This window comes from Homo sapiens, chromosome 13 (genome assembly GCF_000001405.40).
Source record: "Homo sapiens chromosome 13, GRCh38.p14 Primary Assembly".
NCBI lineage: Eukaryota > Metazoa > Chordata > Mammalia > Primates > Hominidae > Homo > Homo sapiens.
The window spans coordinates 38,348,345-38,367,549 of NC_000013.11; the positions used below are offsets into that span (position 1 = coordinate 38,348,345).

The 19,205-nt window shown below is 35.1% G+C and overlaps 1 protein-coding gene across 7 annotated transcripts, besides 4 other annotated features; it reads left to right on the forward strand.

Annotated features, from left to right (window-relative positions):
• Positions 1,037 to 1,146: a silencer, noted in NCBI's record as "silent region_5272". NCBI's record gives its function as "represses an Ori minimal core promoter by ATAC-STARR-seq in GM12878 lymphoblastoid cells {active_cell/tissue: GM12878}" and the evidence as "EXISTENCE:reporter gene assay evidence [ECO:0000049][PMID:35858748]".
• Positions 1,257 to 1,466: an enhancer, noted in NCBI's record as "active region_7595". NCBI's record gives its function as "activates an Ori minimal core promoter by ATAC-STARR-seq in GM12878 lymphoblastoid cells {active_cell/tissue: GM12878}" and the evidence as "EXISTENCE:reporter gene assay evidence [ECO:0000049][PMID:35858748]".
• On the forward strand, positions 1,507 to 15,275 carry UFM1 (ubiquitin fold modifier 1). 7 transcript variants are annotated; one of them, NR_104584.2, is made up of 7 exons: positions 1,507 to 1,577; positions 1,655 to 1,711; positions 5,895 to 5,952; positions 6,667 to 6,727; positions 9,749 to 9,788; positions 10,957 to 10,989; positions 12,367 to 15,275. NR_104584.2 is itself a non-coding variant. In NM_001286705.2 (7 exons), coding segments are annotated over exons 1-6 (216 nt in total). In that variant the 5' UTR covers positions 1,507 to 1,575; the 3' UTR covers positions 11,723 to 11,732; positions 12,367 to 15,275. The 7 variants fall into 7 exon arrangements, 5 of the variants coding, with proteins under 5 accessions (NP_001273634.1, NP_001273633.1, NP_057701.1 ...); NM_001286705.2 differs by lacking the exon at positions 6,667 to 6,727 and adding an exon at positions 11,697 to 11,732; NM_001286704.2 differs by lacking the exon at positions 6,667 to 6,727 and having other exon boundaries at positions 1,655 to 1,883.
• Positions 1,844 to 2,058: a silencer, noted in NCBI's record as "fragment chr13:38924325-38924539 (GRCh37/hg19 assembly coordinates)". NCBI's record gives its function as "represses an EF-1alpha promoter that drives an FKBP-Casp9 reporter gene in an ReSE screen in HepG2 liver carcinoma cells {active_cell/tissue: HepG2}" and the evidence as "EXISTENCE:reporter gene assay evidence [ECO:0000049][PMID:32094911]".
• Positions 15,780 to 16,288: an enhancer, noted in NCBI's record as "OCT4-NANOG hESC enhancer chr13:38938261-38938769 (GRCh37/hg19 assembly coordinates)". NCBI's record gives its function as "activates a minimal SCP1, AML or CMV promoter by ChIP-STARR-seq in naive H9 embryonic stem cells {active_cell/tissue: H9 hESC(naive)}" and the evidence as "EXISTENCE:reporter gene assay evidence [ECO:0000049][PMID:30033119]".

The window sequence follows — 19,205 nt, forward strand, 5'->3', positions numbered from 1 at the left end:
TATTATATGTAGTCTTATAGACTGTAAATATGTACACTCATCTCTTTCATTATTATTTGGCTAGCTGACAATAGGTAGACACAATCACAGTTTTATCCTTATTACTATTCTCACAAGTTTTAGTCACACCCACTAATTGAATAGTTTCAGCTATTAAGGCTGTAACTGTTGATCCCTGTATCTGTCAATCAATATTTGGCTTCATCTACATATATGGTAAGACCATTATTTTAAAAAGTGAGGATGGCTGTCATGAGAATGTTGGAGTCTTACTTGCCTACTCAGAACCAGAACTCTCTCCACTGGGAAATGTCACCATAGAAGATCAGTTGGCTGCAAAATTATTGTAAAGATGAATTTGATCTCCATTATCCCTACTACAGTTCCTTCCTGGTTCCTCTCTTAAGTATCTCTCCTTAAGAATCTGATGCATATTCTAAAGATCAACTAGATTGCCCCATTATTTTAATGCCTACCTGCTTCCTCCTTTGTCTATTCATGCTAATGTTTTAAAAGGGCATTTCAGTCATTGTGAGACAGACGCATATTTTCCAAACACAGAGGTTTAGATCTGTAATAAAGTTTAGAGGACAATTTTCTTCCGTCATCACTACACAGGATGTTAGATCCTAGAGAGTTGACGCCTACCTGCCTTACTCATCTTGGATTCCCCAGAGTTTAGCTTAGCGCCGGGCAAATAGAAAGGGTTCAAAGTTGGTTGTTAAATTGAATAAATGTGGTCAGTGATTAGCAACTCAGCGCACTGGTTTAATTAGACCATATAACAAATTACTGAAATCTCCTGTTCATAGATGTGTCTTCCCAACTAGACGCCACGTTCCCCAAACGTAGAAACCTCATTTTTTCTCACCCACCCCAGCGGGAGTCTTGGCATAGATAATTCGTACTTGATAGCTCTCTTACTTAACCGAAATTCAATAGTTATAAATCAGTATCGGAAAGTAAAGCGTGAAGGAGAAACTATGAGAAATGTAAAGGATATAACAGGATTGGTTTGCTGGAAAGACGGAAGAAAACTAATGATAAAGCAGTGTTACAATTCCTGCTTCTGGAGCACCAATTAAGCTTTTCCGCGCTCAGGTTGCCTTAGAAACTTTAGAGCGCGTCCGCCCCAGCCCCGCCCCCGGCCTCGCCCCGAGCTTCGCCCCAAGTCCATCTCGCTCTTCATCCGACTACCCCATACCCTTACTTCCGCCCCAACCTGCCAACTGGAACCTAGGGTCCTACGCTCTATGCCCACGCTTATTCTGCCTGACTAAAAATATGGTAGCAAATTACCAAAGTTAGAAAGATATCTTATAAATATAATCCATACTTTTTTCTTAGATATATAAACGCAAAAGCACAAGATATTTGTAATTTAAAAGCGCCATCTAGCATGAGCTCTTAGGGCCAATTTTCAGGCAGTGCGTTGGATAGCAACAACTTCGGAGGTCCCCAGATTGCAGAGGGAGACGTGGACGTGAGTGGAGCGGGGCGGTCCCCAGCACACTAGAGGAAGTCGTGCTACCCCCGCGGAGTTGTCGTGTGTTCTGGATTCATTCCGGCACCACCATGTAAGTGTTTGCTTACCGACTGCCATAATTCCTGGTCCAGCTGCCCGACCCTGACTCTCTCCCGCTCTTTTCCTCAGGTCGAAGGTTTCCTTTAAGATCACGCTGACGTCGGACCCACGGCTGCCGTACAAAGTGTGAGTAGCTCGGCCGAGATGGGCCTTTTGGGGCCGGACAAGACGGGGCTGGGTTGGGGATGATCCGAGCTTTTCCAACAACTACCCCACGCAGTCTTCATCTCTTCACTTCATCTACTTTCCTGGCTCGCGCCCTTCCAGGAGCCTTTCCCACCGGAGCCTGCGAGGAGAGGTCCGTACTTGCTCGCTAAGTGTCAGCTTGGCAGCTTGGCCCCGTCACGAGGGTGTGGGTGTGTTTCTGATTAGTGACCTCCCCTCGGAATTCATTTGGTGGGCAGGTGGCGCGGGAGGACAGGTGGACCAGGTTCTGGTAATTTGTTGGGATTCTTAAACAGTCCCCATCTGCTGGATATTAGAAAAGCGTTTCACCGCTTTGGCCAGCTGGTTGAGGAAGTTAAGGAAGACATTCCATCTTGATAGTCAAGACTTTGAAATTACTTGAACATTTGTTATTCCGCGGCTTCTGAGTTTCGTTGTGTATGAGTAACTCAGCAGTCGGGCATCACAAAGTAATGAGACTCAGATCACACCCTTCCTATGCTGGGATTTAATAGAGTATTTGGTAGGAATGGGAAATGCAGATAGGGGATAGTTTATCCATGTGGGGCCTTTACTTATCCTTCGCAGTTGAGTGATAGATTTTAAGTAAACACTCTTGAGGTTATTGCAGTTGGAAGTAGCATGAAATGTAGCAAAGAACAGGATTACAATAGAATTTTTTGCATAATTAATTAGTACCTTGGCCTACCTAGCTGACTGATAAATTTCAATGATTTACCAATCCATGATCCGTACAACCTCTCAGCCTTTTCCTCCCTTGATCTTTTCATCTCCAAAATATCCCTGTTACACTTTATCTCAGGTGTTCATGGTTGCAGCCTAGAACCTTAAGATTCCAATAATTGCTCCATCTCTGAGATGTCGTTTACAGGCACTCTTATGGATAAATACATTCTCTCCTACATGATTTACTATAATTTCTCATCTACAACGTTTCATTTAATCCATTAATCACAGTGATTTTTTATCTGTAGCTATCCCCACTTCTATTCCTTACCTTACTCCTTATATAGTTAAGAGTCCATTGGTCCACCTTTAAATCATTCTCATGCAAACACCCTCAACTCTGGTGGCCCTGTCTCTCCTCTCAGCATATTTTGGTTAGTGAAACACCAACTCTGAAACCAGCTGTTTGTATTATCTGTACATAGCTGACTGCCCCTGGAGAAAATAACAGACTGGAGGGTTTACATTAAATTCATGACTACAATTAATAGTACCTAGTACTTAATACATTCTTCAAGTTTGCTCATTTTCCTCCTTATTCTCAGAAAAGATTGTTTAAAAATTTCAAACTTTCCACAGCTGCTGTCTCCCTTGCTATCAAGCCATCAGAGGGAAATTCTATCATCTTTACACCAATGTAAACCTACCACTACATGGATAAATCCGTTAATTTCCCATCCTGTTAGAATGGAAAAAATGACTTCACTCCTATGAAAAACCACTTGAGCTATAGTTCCCATCTATTTCAGTCTTGTCAAGGTTAAAGTAGATGGAGTCCAGTGCCCCCTCTCTCCTCATGATTGGTTTTTCCCTTTCTACTGGATTATTCTCATCAATATGCAAATGTACTCGAAAGAGAGCGTGAGAAGGAAGGAAGAAAATGATAGAGTAGGACAATAACATTAAGAGCCTGGAACATTGTACCAGTTCAGTTAATATGTGGTGACTGAATGAATTTAGTAGGTACAACTGTTGTTTAGTATGTATGTGTGCGTGTGTAGTTGTGTGTGTATGTGTATAAGGATGTGTGTGTGGAAAATTCACATAACGTGTAAATGTGTGTACAAGGGTATCTGTGCTATATTTTCTTTTCAAAGTACATGGTAACTAGTACTTGGGTACTTGACAAGCTTGCCCTTTTAATCTTTGCTTCCTTTACACATGTTCTTTTCTGTGCTTAGAATGCAGTCTCATGATCACAACATATTTTATAGTAATAAAAATCTCACCTCTATGAAGTTTGTTTTTTTTTCTTTCTTTCTTTTTTTTTTTTTTTTTGTGAAACAAAGTCTCGCTCTGTTGCCCAGGTTGGAGTGCAGTGGCACGATCTTGGCTCACTGCAACGCCCGCCTTCCCAGTTCTTCTCCTTCCTCAGCCTCCCAAATAGCTGGGACCACAGGTGTGTGCCACCTTGCCCAGCTAATTTTTTGTATTTTTAGTAGAGACGGGGTGTCACTGTGTTAGCCAGGATGGTTTCCATCTCCTGACCTCGTGATCTGCCCACCTCGGCCTCCCAAAGTTCTGGGATTATAGGCGTGAGCCACCCCTTCTGGCCAAAGATTTTTCTAATTGTCCACAGAGTTAATCTCGCCCTTCTTGAGTTACCTGTGGACTTAGTCTTTATAATAATTCTTACCAATTTATGTTATTATTTTGTTTATATATTTATTTAAAAAACAAATGATGCCAGTAATTTACTTCAAAAATTCTCATTAATGTAAATTTATTCAAAACACTGGGATAATTTAAGTACCGATTTTATGAAATGACTGGCAAATACAACTTTAAATCTAGATAAGATCTGTGGAGTCACTGTAACTCTCATTTTTTCTAATTTTCTGCCAGTTAGAACTTGCATTAAAAGATGTTTTCATTTTTGATTTGTTTTTATTGGCTTGTCTGTGGACACTCACCAACTTAATATACAGATAGAAACTTATTTTAATGAGCATCAGTATGACATCTAGGTATATTGTAAGGACATTTCCAAGTCTCCGATTTAAAAGTGAATTGAACTCCAAGGGTTTAGAAGTTCTCCAATTGATGCAGAGTTTTAGGAAAATGAATCTCAGATTCTTAACTACATATACACTGCAAAAATACTTTGTAAAATACTGTTGCCTAGTTTGTAAACTATGACATTGCCAGTTCGTTAGTTTTTAAACAAATGGCTATCCTTTATATGTTTTTATTTTTTTCCACCCCCCAAAAACATTAGTAAAGAAAGGGTAAAAATGATACCCATTTTCATCCTTTAATAGTATTTTGGAGTTGTGGAATGAGGGCAGCCAAGAAATCTATTCACATTTCTATTACTGAAAACTGGTACCATATGCTGTTCCTGTTATAATGATTCTTATAGTCAGAGATCTGTAGACTGAGTGAGGAGCCTGGGCATATACATGAGAATAATGGTAGCTGGTATTGAGACACTTAAGAACAATACAATAATATGGTGGACAAATAGAGAAGTTTCAGTGAGAAATGTTAGCTTGTAAGTCTCCTCTGCTTTGAAAGATTGTTTTCTGTTTTCACTCATTGTAATTTATGTTACCTTAGGGATCTTATTTTTTAAAAGAAGTTTTAAAAACCTCTTACTGTGTCTTAAAGTGTTTTCTTAAGGTATAAAGTAAATTTCTGTTTTGATTTTTTTTATTGGAAAGTTCATACAGATTGACCCTGGGACTAAGTCATTAAGAAAAAAAAAATATATTTATTCATGATCTTTAAAATACTTGCCGTTATATGAGTCAGTTAACAAAATCACTCATCCCTCTCCAAAATGTTATTTCACATTTTACTTAGCCCACTTTAAATGATGGTAGAAAAATCACTTCATTATTGGCATTTTGACATAATGAACTTCATGCATTTTCATTAATTTGGTCTACTAATTTTGAACATGATTATTAAGAGTACACAGAAGGTTCATCAAAAGCTTTATGATCCAGTGATGCTTCCCAAGTAGCCTTCTACTTATAATGAAAATGATAACATTACTGGGTCAAGTGCATAGATATTTAGATGGGAGGTAAAGTGGACTGAAGACCAAGGAGAGCTTCACCTTTTTGAAATCCATCTCTAGAAACAAACAGCAGTTCATATGCTAGACTTACATGTATGAAAGTGTTAGAAATATATAAATCTACACCTTAAAGGTTAATTCTCAAGTGGAGCTCGGGCACCATCCCAGCTCTAAGGCTATTTGCTGTTTGGGTTGTTATTATTATTATTATTATTTTGAGTTAAAGAATGTAGTATGCAATCAAAATCACTAACTTTGAAACTGAAAAGACAGCTTTGTCCAGATTGGCTACAGTAGTGGAAATAAGGAACAAAGGGGCTTTTTTAGAAAATGGTGACTTTAAAAGAAACTGTTTTAAAATTCTTCTTGCAGACTCAGTGTTCCTGAAAGTACACCTTTCACAGCAGTCTTAAAGTTTGCAGCAGAAGAAGTAAGTACAGAAGTTGGAACAACCTTTATGGAATGCGGTTTGCCAATATGCTTCAAATGTCTTTAAGAGTTGCATGCACTTTGACCCATCATTTCCATGTGGCTTCATTACTAGGTTTATGTTATCAAAAAGTAGGATGATAGTTAAGACTTACTTTCAGATATAAGAAGCATGAGTTAAACAAATTGACATATCTGATTAATGCAACCATTGAAAATTATAAGAATTTAATGAATTTTTATGAGAATTTTTATGAAAACTAAAAAGGTGCTGATTTTTAAATGTTTTTTAAAATGCAACATTATATCACATTATATTCTATATACTCATATTTTACTAGTCTTGATTCCAAAATTGCAATTTCATAGAATCTTTATCATAGTTTTCAAATTTTCTATATGAGCATGTGGACTGTCAGTAAAATTTGTTGTTTTGAAAAGTTTCTAGTTTTTTAAAACATGTTTGAATTTTCTGTTTCATAAGAAACAATTTTTTTCATCCAAAATTATTAGAAATATCTATAATGCAACTTTTTGGACATGACACTTGAAAAAGTAGCTTGATCTGTTAGAAATGGCACCCAAATGTGACTTCGGAGACTTAGGGTTCCTGTTGTAGGTGCGTCATTAGTTAGCTATGTGACATGATGCAAATCCCTCTTTTTTATTCTGCAAAATGGAAGTAGTTAATACCTGTCCTTCCTCTCTGATCAAGTGATTTCGAGTAAAAACATTATTTCCTGAAATTTTCTGTTGAAGTTAAAAGTGCTAAACAGGTACGTTGTAACCCAAATCAAAACGTTTTGGTTCAGAATCTTTTGAAAAGTTTATAGTCACAGAAAAATAATTTTCTTAACTACATTAATAAAAAATAGCTTAACACACAATCCTGCCCTGTACTTCACTGATTTATGGCAAGTCAGCCAATCCATCAGTGCTCAAAGCTCCTTGTATTGTCAGGAATCACTAACATTATTTGTCACTCATTCAGAATTAAACTGCCAACTAGTAGCATTTGTTTTGTGTCTGATAGATTCTTCATGCAGAAAGAATAAGTAAAATGAGATGGGACACAAATCTGAGTATAGCATTGTCATTACTTTTTGCTGCACAGATTACTTGCAAGAAATATTCTAGTCTGGGGCATAACAGAATCCACAAATTCCAGATTTAAGAAGTAGATCTATATAAGCTTTATTTAATATTTGTTATATTTTTTAGTTACTCATTGTGTGTCCTTTATAATGCAAAGGCATTTTTTGTGATCTTGGTTTTCTAATTAAAATAGAAGAAAATCTTAACATACAGTAGTGAATAAGAAACACCACACAACCATATATATTGATTAAGGTAGTTTATAAGTAAAGCTTACAGTAGAGTAAGCTACAGAAAAGAAAATATTAAGAAAACCATAAGAGAAAGTATATTTACTATTCATTAAGTGGAAAAGGATCACTATTATGAATCATAGGTGTTACATATTTAGAAAGGATATGACTTTCAGATCGTTGTGAGAGGGGCTTTCACAAGATAACATTGTAGAATCATTCAGTGAGAACAAAAGTTGACTCAAGAAAGCAAGAGTCTGGATTTAAATCCCTCGTAAAATTGCCTTAGTAAGCAATAATAAAATTTCCCAGCACATGACTGGGGTAAGTAATGAATTGTTGAAACCTGCAAAGAGCCCTAAATTATAAGAATTATGGGGGATCGGAGGAGGAAAATAAATGAAAACAGAAGACCATAAAAGAATACTTTGCATTCAGTAGAAAACCTGTCAGTACTGTAGGACAAAAAGGAATAGATTCTACATTTTACATCACCAGTGATGCCTCCTCATGGTTTAACCATTTCTTCCACATTCTGCCTAAAGGGAAAACTGTGTCAGCAATTGCTTTTGGTTTTTAAAGTTATAGGTTGCTACTACATGGATGTGACTAAGAAAATACATAGATTATCTTAAAATGGGCATGATGTAAAAGACTCAATCAGTAGGGTAACTAAAAACTTTGTAGTACTCTAGCTTTGGAAATCTGAGAGGCCTATATAGTTCATTTGAGTGTTTGATCAAATTCTTATTGAGATTACAGCCTGTGCAAAATATTTGTGATGCATTTTTAAGTTTACTTAAGTACACTTTGAAATTCTTTAAAAATTTTAAAATCTTTAAAAGGACACAAGAGTGTACCACATTGAGATTAAAATGTGTTTATTATTAATTTGTACATAATACTATAACAAATAATTGTTCTCAGGTATGTTTAAGGCCTTATTTTAAAAGTTGATTCTTCAATTTCTAATTTAAAATAAGCTTTTAGTTTTTCTCAACTATGTATATGTAATGATTATAGATGCCTAGAGTAGTGTTTCCCAGACAACTAGAACCACACACAAATTAGTACCACCAAAAAAAAAAAAAAAAAAACTTCATGAAGAACAGGGATTACTGGTCAAAAAATACGAGAAACACTTCATTTCTGTTAGGAGTATATTAAAGGCTTTTGAGAAGACCACTAGTTAAATGTGTTTTCCAAACTTGATCACAAAACTCAACTATAATATCTATAAAGTTAGTCCATAGCACAAACATGCTTAAATTTGTTGGATAAATGCATAAACTGTGAAGACATAAACACACTTTGGCAACTGCTGGTCTCTTTAAGAGATGGAATCTACCTTTTAGCTACCAATAAATTCCATACCACATTTCATTGATTTAAAAAACACATCTTTTTAAACATCTCTGAAATAGATCAGGGGAGGCTTGCTATCACTGTTGGCCAAATGGCTTTCACTTAATTGTCTAGGTAACATCATCTACACTTAATTATTATTTCCTAATGACATAATTGGACTATTGCAATCCTTGAGCTTTAAATCAGCAAATCATTACAGAGGAATGTAAGGAATACAAGCCTTGGTTGTTACCTGAAAATCTTCGGTAGGCACCTCCCATTAAACACAGAGAGCATCTGTTCAGATCTTGCAATTTCTATGGAGAAATTTTAGGAATAATCTCATCAGTTTATTTTGCATGTACTTTTTGCTGTTCAAGAGAATTATAAATGACAAAATTGATGGATAAGTCCTAAAGAGTAAACATTGATCTGGGCATAAATTGACAGTGGTTTTTCATTTTTGTAATGTATAATATAAGGTACACTTTTATAATTAATGGTGTCCTAAATACAATCAAAAGCACTGTTTATAATACAGGGTTTTTTTTTTACAGATAAAGCATATGATATAGTCCAGTTGACCCTTGAATAACGTGGGAGTTAGGGGTTCCAACCCCCTGTGCAGTTGAAAATCTGCATAAAACTTTTTTATTTCTCAAAAACTTTACTAATAGCCTACTGTTGACTGGAAGCCTTACTGATAACACAGACAGGCGATTAATATGTATTTTGTTATGTGTATTATATACTGTATTCTTACAATAACGTTAAAGAAAAAATACTAAGAAAATCATAACAGAAAGTATATTTACTATTCATTAAGTGGAAGTGGACCATGGGAAAGGTCTTAATCCTTGTCTTGTGTTGAATATACTGAGGAGAAGGAAGAGGAAGGGTTGGTCTTGCTGTCTCAGGAGTAGCGGAGGCAGAAGAAAATCTGCATATGTCATTCAAGGGTCAGCTGTACTTTCCTTGATAGTTTCACTTATTCTAAAAGATTAATCCTACTTTAGAATTATAGAATTGGTATTTGTACCCCATTCTTGCTAATTATCTTATAGTTTTGTGTGTGTGTGTGTGTGTGTATATATATATATATTTTTTTTTCCTTCTATTTAGTTTAAAGTTCCTGCTGCAACAAGTGCAATTATTACCAATGGTAAGAATTCACTATAAAATTATGTATTACCTCAAATTTATAGAAATGGTGTAAAAGGAACCAAATTAATTAAAATTAAATACAAAAAGCCCCAAGTATATGTATATCAACATAAATGATATACTTACTGGTAAACACTAAGTCAGGGTTATTGTTAATAATTAGCTCCTTTCATTTCTTTGTATATAGCTTTTGATATAGTATAGCACTTTATAATATCTTTTGTCCTTACCAGTTCATGCCAGATTATAACTGAAAATAACTTTATTTAGCAAGTTTTTTTTTTTATTAAGTAAAGTTGTTTGGTAAATGCTTTAGAATATAGAAAGTTAAGCAGGAATGTATCTTTGCTATACCTTTCCTGATAGAAAATTGTTTCTTGTAGGCTTGCAATAATGAGAATTTTATTCCGTTTTAGGTATATAATTAAAAATCTTAATATCTTGGAACACTGATAATCAATGATGATGGAATTAGTCTTGTGAGAAAATAGTGAAATAATAAGATGAGGAGTAAAGATTGCAGGGAGGGCTTAACTGTGTTTCAAGTATACAATGCAGTATTGATGAGTGCTGATGCGTTGCCCAAGTGCAGTTTGGACAGGAGATGGGCTTAATGTGCGTGATGTAACTTAGATAAGGTAGAATTTCTCACTCTAAAATATTCTGCATTCTGTCACATTGAAGTGTTTCTCTGTTGGAAAAAAGCTGGCTTACTACCTGGAAAGTTTTAGGTCATAACTTAGTAACGTGTTGAACTAAATGACTTTGTGAGCTCTCCCAGCCTTAAGATATTATGACCTAGAACAATACGAAGATGATTCATGGCATACCTAAGGGGCTTTTTAGTTTTTTGGAAGAAAGGACAAACATTATTTTTAATTCTATATGGCAAAATAGAATTAATAACCTATATTCCATAGAACTTACCAGGATCATTGCATTGACAGACGTTTTTGTCTAACCCAGCAATGTGTATGAATGCAGAATAATAGTAGATTTCAACAGATAATTTACCTGAAAGATTGTCACTCGTGTTCTTGGATTTAAAGTGTTTGGCTTATGTCTATATACACAACAGCACTATTTTGGCAAATCTCTTTCCTTGCTACTATTTAACCATTTTAGCTTTAGAAATAATGTATGTGATTTTACAACTTATTTTCTAGATGGAATAGGAATAAATCCTGCACAGACTGCTGGTGAGTATTTGAAAACTCATAGAGGAGTGGGTGGGGTTATATATGTCAATTGACACTGAATAGTTAAGCTATTCTAATTACACTTGACAGTATTTTAACATAATGGAGCTGTTTTTTAGGGATTATATACCAGTCTTTACCTGTGTGTCTGAGTAATAAGTTGTTTCATTGTGTATATTGATTGTAGATGTTTTTGGCTACAAGTAACAGAAAACCTAATAGTGGCTTAAGCATTAAGAGTATTTATTATATATAACAAAAAGTCTGTAGATAAGATTGCTTTCTAATTGGAGTATTTTTTGACCTACCTCTTAAGGTAGTTGTGAGATAGTGACTGTAAAGTGCTTCATAGCTTGGATTATTTATAGAAAGCATTCATTAAGTGCTATTATTTTTTTTAAATATAGTCATTTACATTTCAAGGGGCTGAGTCTACATTCAGATCTTCAAACTGTTAAATTTATACAGGTGATATATTGGTGTCCTGACCAGGAGACAGGGTAAAAGTAGTCTCATACTTTATAAAAAGAAGTCTAAAACTTTTTTAAAATTAGTTTTATATTTTTAAAATGTAATCTCTTAGGCTTATAATCTAAAGTTTTAAAATTAGGCATGCTTTAATGTAACCTCATTCTAGAGCAGTAGTTATTTTTAAATTATATTCTAAAGTATTTCTTTATTGTAACAAAATTATGTTGTTTTCACAGGCCTTGCAGTTGAAATTCAGCCATAAAGAAAATGAAGTGATTTAAAATTGCAAATTTTTGTTACTTCAGTAGTTGTTAATATATAATTTTATTAAAAAGGTTTATTGAAAATCGTGAGGCACTTTATTGTATGGATGCCTTTAAACTTAGTAGACAAAGGTTTCTTTTTTTCTTAATCGAGAAACTTTCAATATTTTACAGTAGTTTGAATTACTGCTAACTCTAACATACTGCTTGTTTTATTATCTTTAAAAATTGAATGTGCATATCCTTGATATGAAGAAAATCTCATCAGGCAATTGACCCCAAATATGTCAGGGTATCTAAATTTTTGTCACTTGTAGTAATTTACATTTTTTTTCCTGTCCTTAGATATATTATTGTGTATTGAAGGAAGTATTCATGATTAAATTATTCACAGTTACTTGATGAAAGTATTCGTCAGAGTTTTCATGGCTGGTGTTATTTTAAATTTTAAGCGTATGTTGGATTGTGAAGATAGGAGAATAGGAACAAGACTTAAAAAGCTTGGAATTGGGGTCTCATGATGCTTGAGCTTTTGTACCCATTTTACTGTTTACTAAATCATTTATTATATTTAATAATTGTCAGAATATTAAGATAACTTGATTTTTAGATATCTAACTTTATGTTTTGTTTGTTTGTATAGGAAATGTTTTTCTAAAACATGGTTCAGAACTGCGGATTATTCCTAGAGATCGTGTTGGAAGTTGTTAATATCTGCTACTTGGAACATACGATTGCCTTTCAGAATAAATATTGGTATTTTTTGTTGTTGTAAAATTGAAATCAGGCATTTAACATACTATGAAAACACCAGGAGTCAATGATTAATGAAAGGTGACTCATCTGTCCCTTTTTGTTGTCCATACTCTTCCTATGAAGAGGGAATGCGTATGAATTAAGGCTACTACTGTCACAGAAGATCATAGTCTTTGATGCTACCTCACAACACAAACAGGTAGTTCGTTGGGGGCAAATGAATTAGCCAACTGTTAACTGGAAGCTTTTGATAATTTTTTTTTTTAGAACAATTTGGAACATTAAAATTTACTGAATCGTATATATTCATCTGAGATAAAAATATAAAAAGAATTATGGACCCTGGATGGCAATTTGCTTGATAGCATCTGATTTGCAGACTCATAATTTGATTTTTAATTAAATATATAGGTTGTGATGAAGTGAATAGACATATCAGTGAACAGTTAACTATATTAAATTTTTATCATTTACTTTTTTTAAGATTCAGACCTCAGTTATATAAATTTCAGTTTAATATCAACCAAAAAATTAAAATTTTAATCTAACCCTTATGTGTATAAATTGGTGTCCCATACCAGCTTTTAATGGTGGACCTATAGAATCCAGTACTTTTAATGGTGGGAATTTACAGTAGAAGCATCCTTTGCTGAGTTATACATTCCTTTATCAATCTCTTTTGATACAACATTTAAAACAAGTAGCTTCAAGAAACCACTGGTGTTTTGAGGATAGTATTTCTAAATAGCATTCAGGAACAGAGTATTATTGCACAGATCTGAAGATCAAAAAAAAGCTCAAGGAAATACAGATCGGAAGTGCTGATGAGTTATATTTATTGAAAACCCAACTTTTAAGGAAGTGCTAAGATCAGTCACCCATGTGAATAAGAAGCCAGGAAAGGAAAGATGGGGAAGCCCAGATCACCAGGCTTCTATTAAGGAGGAAAGCAACAGAGGAAACAGTGAAGGGGAACAGAAGGGGGTAGCAAAGTGTTACAGAAAAGCGGACTGGATAGACAAAACTGCAGAAGGTGTATGTTGGGGAGAACTGAAAGGGAAAACAAAATACTTGACATAGTCTTAAGTAGAAGAAGGCAGTTAGAGAAAACAAAGTATCTACTGGCCTTGTCAACATACAGACTTCAAAATACCCCTTATGAGAATCCAAAGAATGATGTGTGTAAGGGAAGATTTTATTTGCCCTTCCGGAAGAAATCAGTATCTATGCAAATCTTGAAAGACGAAATCAAAGCCCATTAATGATTCAGAATCAGTGCTTGACCTCCTGTATTCTGAATGGTGAACTCTGGAAGCAGGGATTGTGTCTGGCTCTTTTTAGAGCTGGAAATGTAGTGGCTTTCATTAAATACTTGCTGTAAAGTCTTTCTAAGACCAATTATTATCTTAGCATGTTTCAGTATCTTCTCTATCATAGGCCCTAAGTTCATTGGGGGAAAAAAAATAAGAAGATTCAACAGAATCAGCATTTGAAGTGTACCATTGGTAGTTGTTTATGAAATTACCAGATATTCATAAATGTGACAAATGAACAGCAGGATTATGAATTATCAAAGGAAAAAGTATTTGCTGAGGTGAAAAAATCTGATGTTTGAGGAAGTTTTTATTTTTATTTATTTGTTTTGTTTTTTTTTTTTTGAGGCAGACTCTCTGTCGCCAGGCTTCTCCTGCCTCAGCCTCACGAGTAGCTGGGACTACAGGCATGCACCACCACGCCCAGCTAATTTTTGTATTTTTAGCAGAGACAGGGAGGAAGTTTTTATTTTTATAAACAAAATCTGATGTTCAGAGGCCCCGTTTCTTACAATAAATGTTGAGTCTTAGTTAAGCAGGAATTTATGAACACCCATTTCCTGACTTTTTGCTTTAATTTAGATTTTTCTCCATCCTGTTTCTAGCACAAAAATTTGCCTGCTGTGTTACAAAAATAAATTTATGTTGTCCTGTGCCATAAAGTGATATATTTAATATTTTTATTCTTTGGTTTTGAACATTGTAAGTTCCTAAAAACATTTTATTAAACAAGTAGACATTTTGTTATTAAAAAAATGTGATCTGTAATTTCTTTGTGCAGAATGATTTGAAGTATTGTATTCAGTTTACATGCGTTATTGGTTTATAATTAATATCTAATGAAAATACATGTTGTTATATTGTAAACCATATTGTCTGTTCTTATTATTAGAGCTCTTAATCAGCACACCTTTTGAGTCAGTATATAATACATGTAGTAAAGAAAAAAAGGGCAAAGATGATTAATGACCATAAGTCAGAGAAATTAGTTTATAGTCATCTGCCACAGACATAGTAGTGATGTTTCGTCCAACAACAGACCGCATATATGACCGTGGTCCCATATTACTATATTTTTACTGTGCTTTATCTATGTTTGGATACACAAGTACTTACCATCATTTTACAGTTGTTTACAGTATTAGGTACAGTAACATGCTCTACAGGTTTGTAGCCTAGGAGCAATAGGCCATACCAAATAGCCTAAGTTTGTAGTAGGTGACATCAACTAGGTTTGTACAAGTACATTCTGATGTTCACATAGTGACAAAATTGCCTAAGGAAGCATTTCTCAGAATTTGTTCCTGTGATTCAGTGATACATAACAGTACTTGCAAATGCCTGTCCATTTTACAGACGGAAAAAAAAAAAAAAAAAGTTGAGAAGAAAATGGGGTTATTGTAACTGGCTAGGTTGGTAGGTTCCAAACCTGGGTGATAACAGAGTCGCCTAGGAAATTAAAAATACAGATTTTTGGAAACCACTCCTTGAATTCTGATTTATTACATCTGTAATAATATATAAAGATCCTCTGTAAACAGGAGTTCTGGTGATTTCTGCCATGCAGGTGGTTTGAGAATTAATGAGAAGGCCACCTTTTCACTTTGTAGAAGAACAGAATGAGGTCTAAGGGGTCAAAGTAAGTAGAATATGTTCTGGAATCTTGGACAGTGCACTTTCCAATGCTTGGTAAGTAGCCTGAGGTGAAGGTGCTAGCTAACAGTCTCACTCACTGCACAACCTTTGAAGTTTTTCTCCGGGAGGTGGGGGGCAGCCCCCGCCCGGCCAGCCGCCCCGTCTGGGAGGTGGGGGGCAGCCCCCGCCCGGCCGCTGCCCCGTCTGGGAGGTGGGGGGCGCCTCTGCCCGGCCGCCCAGTCTGGGAAGTGAGGAGCCCCTCTGCCCGGCCGCCACCCCGTCTGGGAGGTGTACCCAACAGCTCATTGAGAACGGGCCATGATGACGATGGCGGTATTGTCGAATAGAAAAGGGGGAAATGTGGGGAAAAGAAAGAGAGATCAGATTGTTACTATGTGTAGAAAGAAGTAGACATAGGAGACTCCATTTTGTTCTGTACTAAGAAAAATTCTTCTGCCTTGGGATGCTGTTAATCTATAACCTTACCCCCAACCCCCTGCTCTCTGAAACATGTGCTGTGTCCACTAAGGGTTAAATGGATTAAGGGCGGTGCAAGATGTGCTTTGTTAAACAGATGCTTGGAAGCAGCATACTCGTTAAGAGTCATCACCACTCCCTAATCTCAAGTACCCAGGGACACAAACACTGCGAAAGGCGGCAGAGCCCTCTGCCTAGGAAAACCAGAGACCTTTGTTCACATGTTTATCTGCTGACCTTCCCTCCACTATTGTCCTATGACCCTGCCAAATCCCCCTCTCCCGAGAAACACCCAAGAATGATCAATAAATACTAAAAAAATTTTAAAAAAAAAGTTTTTCAAGTCAAACATTCTTTAGATAAGTTTTTCTTAGAACTAGCTGTTCAAAAGAAACGTTAGTGGGAAGAAAATGCAATCCTATTTAATTCCTCTACTCCAATATTAAGATATTAAAACTTAATATCTTCGCGTAAAAAGATGTTTTTTACGCGAGGACCTTGAAGTATTCCTGAATTGGAAGCATTGTTATACTTTAATGGAGTGATTCTAAGTTAACTGATAGTGTTCCTGAGGCCATTTATAAAACCACACAAAAAATAATGATTTATATATGTAATTCATCCTAAAGAAATCTGTTGAACATCTACTGTGTGTCAAATATTTTGACGGATAATTTCATTTTTATTTACCCATTCTTTATAACAATTCCAGGTTATTTTCCCCTTTTATAGAAAAAGAAAGAGGCTTAAGTTGAGATTTGAAATTTAAACCCATGATTTGACCCAAACTCTGCACATTATACGGAGAAATTTTTAGTATATATTTTCTGTGATATACTAGATGCGTATTGAATCGCAGATTAAAAGTAAGAAAATATGTAAGGCTTAAATTCCATGTCAGAGTACTGACTGTGTGTAATGATAATGAATGGCCTTACTTTTTTAATACGTGGTGTATATATGGTATAAATATGATAAAATTCTAGGATATTAATTATAAACCAACCAGTAGTGGGAGTAGGGACTATGCCGCCATATTCATTAGCCTATCAGACATTGTGTTTTTTAATTTTAGTGTATTTTGCAAGTGAAGCTGCAAGGTTAGTCTCCTAATAGCCCACTTTTTCTACTAGATTGCTGCCCATAAACTTCTTTAATACAGAAATTCTGGAAGTGCCCTCTATTGGTTAGTGCTGGTGATGGGTAAATCATTACTCAAACTAGGCCATTAAACCATTAATTGAAATAAATACTCTTGAAAAGTTCAATCTATCCAACCTATTAACCATATCCTTCAAATTGACTAAGGTTCTCTTACCGTCAAATCTGTTACTCCTGATTTTCCTTTCTTGATGTATCAAGACAATCACAAAATTCTCTTGATGTTGTTAACAGAATATCTCAGCCATCCCCACTGTAACAAAAGCCCTCATCTTCTCGTTTATACTAAGAGCCTCTAGTCTCTTCATTTCCTCTTTCACACTTGCTGTAATGAGTTTTTTTATGCCATTTCATTAATCAAAATCCTACTGAATAAAAAATCTACACTGTCTGTGACATACGAGGCCCTTCATGAACTGGTCTGTGTTAGAGTCATCTGCTACTACTACTCTCTTCCTTACAGTTTCCTTCCCTAATTTACACCGCAGCTACACTGAACCACAAATAATGTTTAGTTATCTGTGATGTGCCATGTTCTTATGCTTTCATTTCTTTACTTACCCCATTTGTCTGCCTGGAAAACCTAGGATTTATTCTTTAAGATCAAAAGCCATTGAGCCTTTCCTCCCTCCTCCAAAGCAGTAGGTATTAACTGTCTAAGCAATTTTACATTTTGTATATTCCTCCATTCTAGCAATTACTAAATACAGAATTACTTGTCTCTAAAATATAAATTTTATAAAAGTCTAAGACCATGACTGAAACTAGGTTTCCAAATCGCTTTGCCCATAAACAAAAAGTACTTTATAATTGAAAAACTACATAAAAGAATATTTTGAAAATTAGAACTGTGTCTCATACATAAAGTAACTGCTTTTCACCAGATTATTTGGTTAACCGGTATACCCATGTTGCCCACTGTTTCTTGTAGCAGAAATTTACTTAAATTAACTACTTTTTTTAATTGTAAAACATTCTCTTATTTTTAAACAAACATTATTAGCTATATGCTGCATATTGTTAAATACTGGAGACGAAACATGATTAACATCCATTCATTCCCATTTCTTGGACTTTCCCAAATTTATACATTTCAAAAACACCAAAATTACCTGGTCTAGTAATCATGGACATGAAGATGTGTAACGAATCCCTTTTTATATGCTGGGCACAGTGTGAGGCACTTTACAGACATTGACTCATTTAATCCTTAATCCCTTCACAAATGCCAGTGTTAATTTCTTCACTTTACTGTTCAGGAAGCTGAGACTTCAGTTAATATGTTTAAGGTTACGGTGAGATTGACTCCTAGGTCTGTATGATTATAAAGTCCACAATGTGTATCATGTATTTATCATCAGTTTGCCTAGAATTGTATTGAAATACTTTTTCAAAATAAAATGAGCACATCTGGAATGAGCCTCATAGATTGCTATTTAATATTTCTGTGATCTCACTTTGCTTGCAAAGTTTAACATTCAGCAATCCACACAAACACTGCACTTATAGACTCCTTTTCAGTAAATATACACATTTATAGCAACAAAGAGAATGGTGAACATTTTAAAAGTAGATGTATGGCCCTATTATCTGCTTTGCTACATAGAGGATGTAATTTTGTTACTAGATGCAAAACACTGGCTAAGGTTGGCAGACAAATTCAGAGAGCCAGTTTTTGGCATAAATCTCTCATTTTTTGGCAAAACTTGTTAGCAGTGTAAAAGCTGTTATTGAGAGCATATTGTGATGATACATCATGTCAATATTTGTTTGGCTGAGTAACACTTGGATTTAATAAATTAATTCTTAAATGCACAATTTACAACTGATGAGCTGTGTTAGAAATAAACTAATTTTTGTTGTCAGTGCCACAGACATTTTGACAAGTCTCTAGTGGAGATACTAGCTTCTCTGATTTTTTAGATAAACGGATGGATGGATTAGGACTTTCTGAATTATCTGTAGATGTGCACATTACGTAGAAATGAAACATAAGAGACAATGAATGAGTAATTAAATGAGTCACATAGGGAAATTAACCAAAAGGACTGTAGAGAGGTCACATTGTTCTTGTGGGGAACTATATCCTTCAGTAAGGAAATACCTTATTTGTTTCTCAAAGCAATAAAAAATGAAGGCT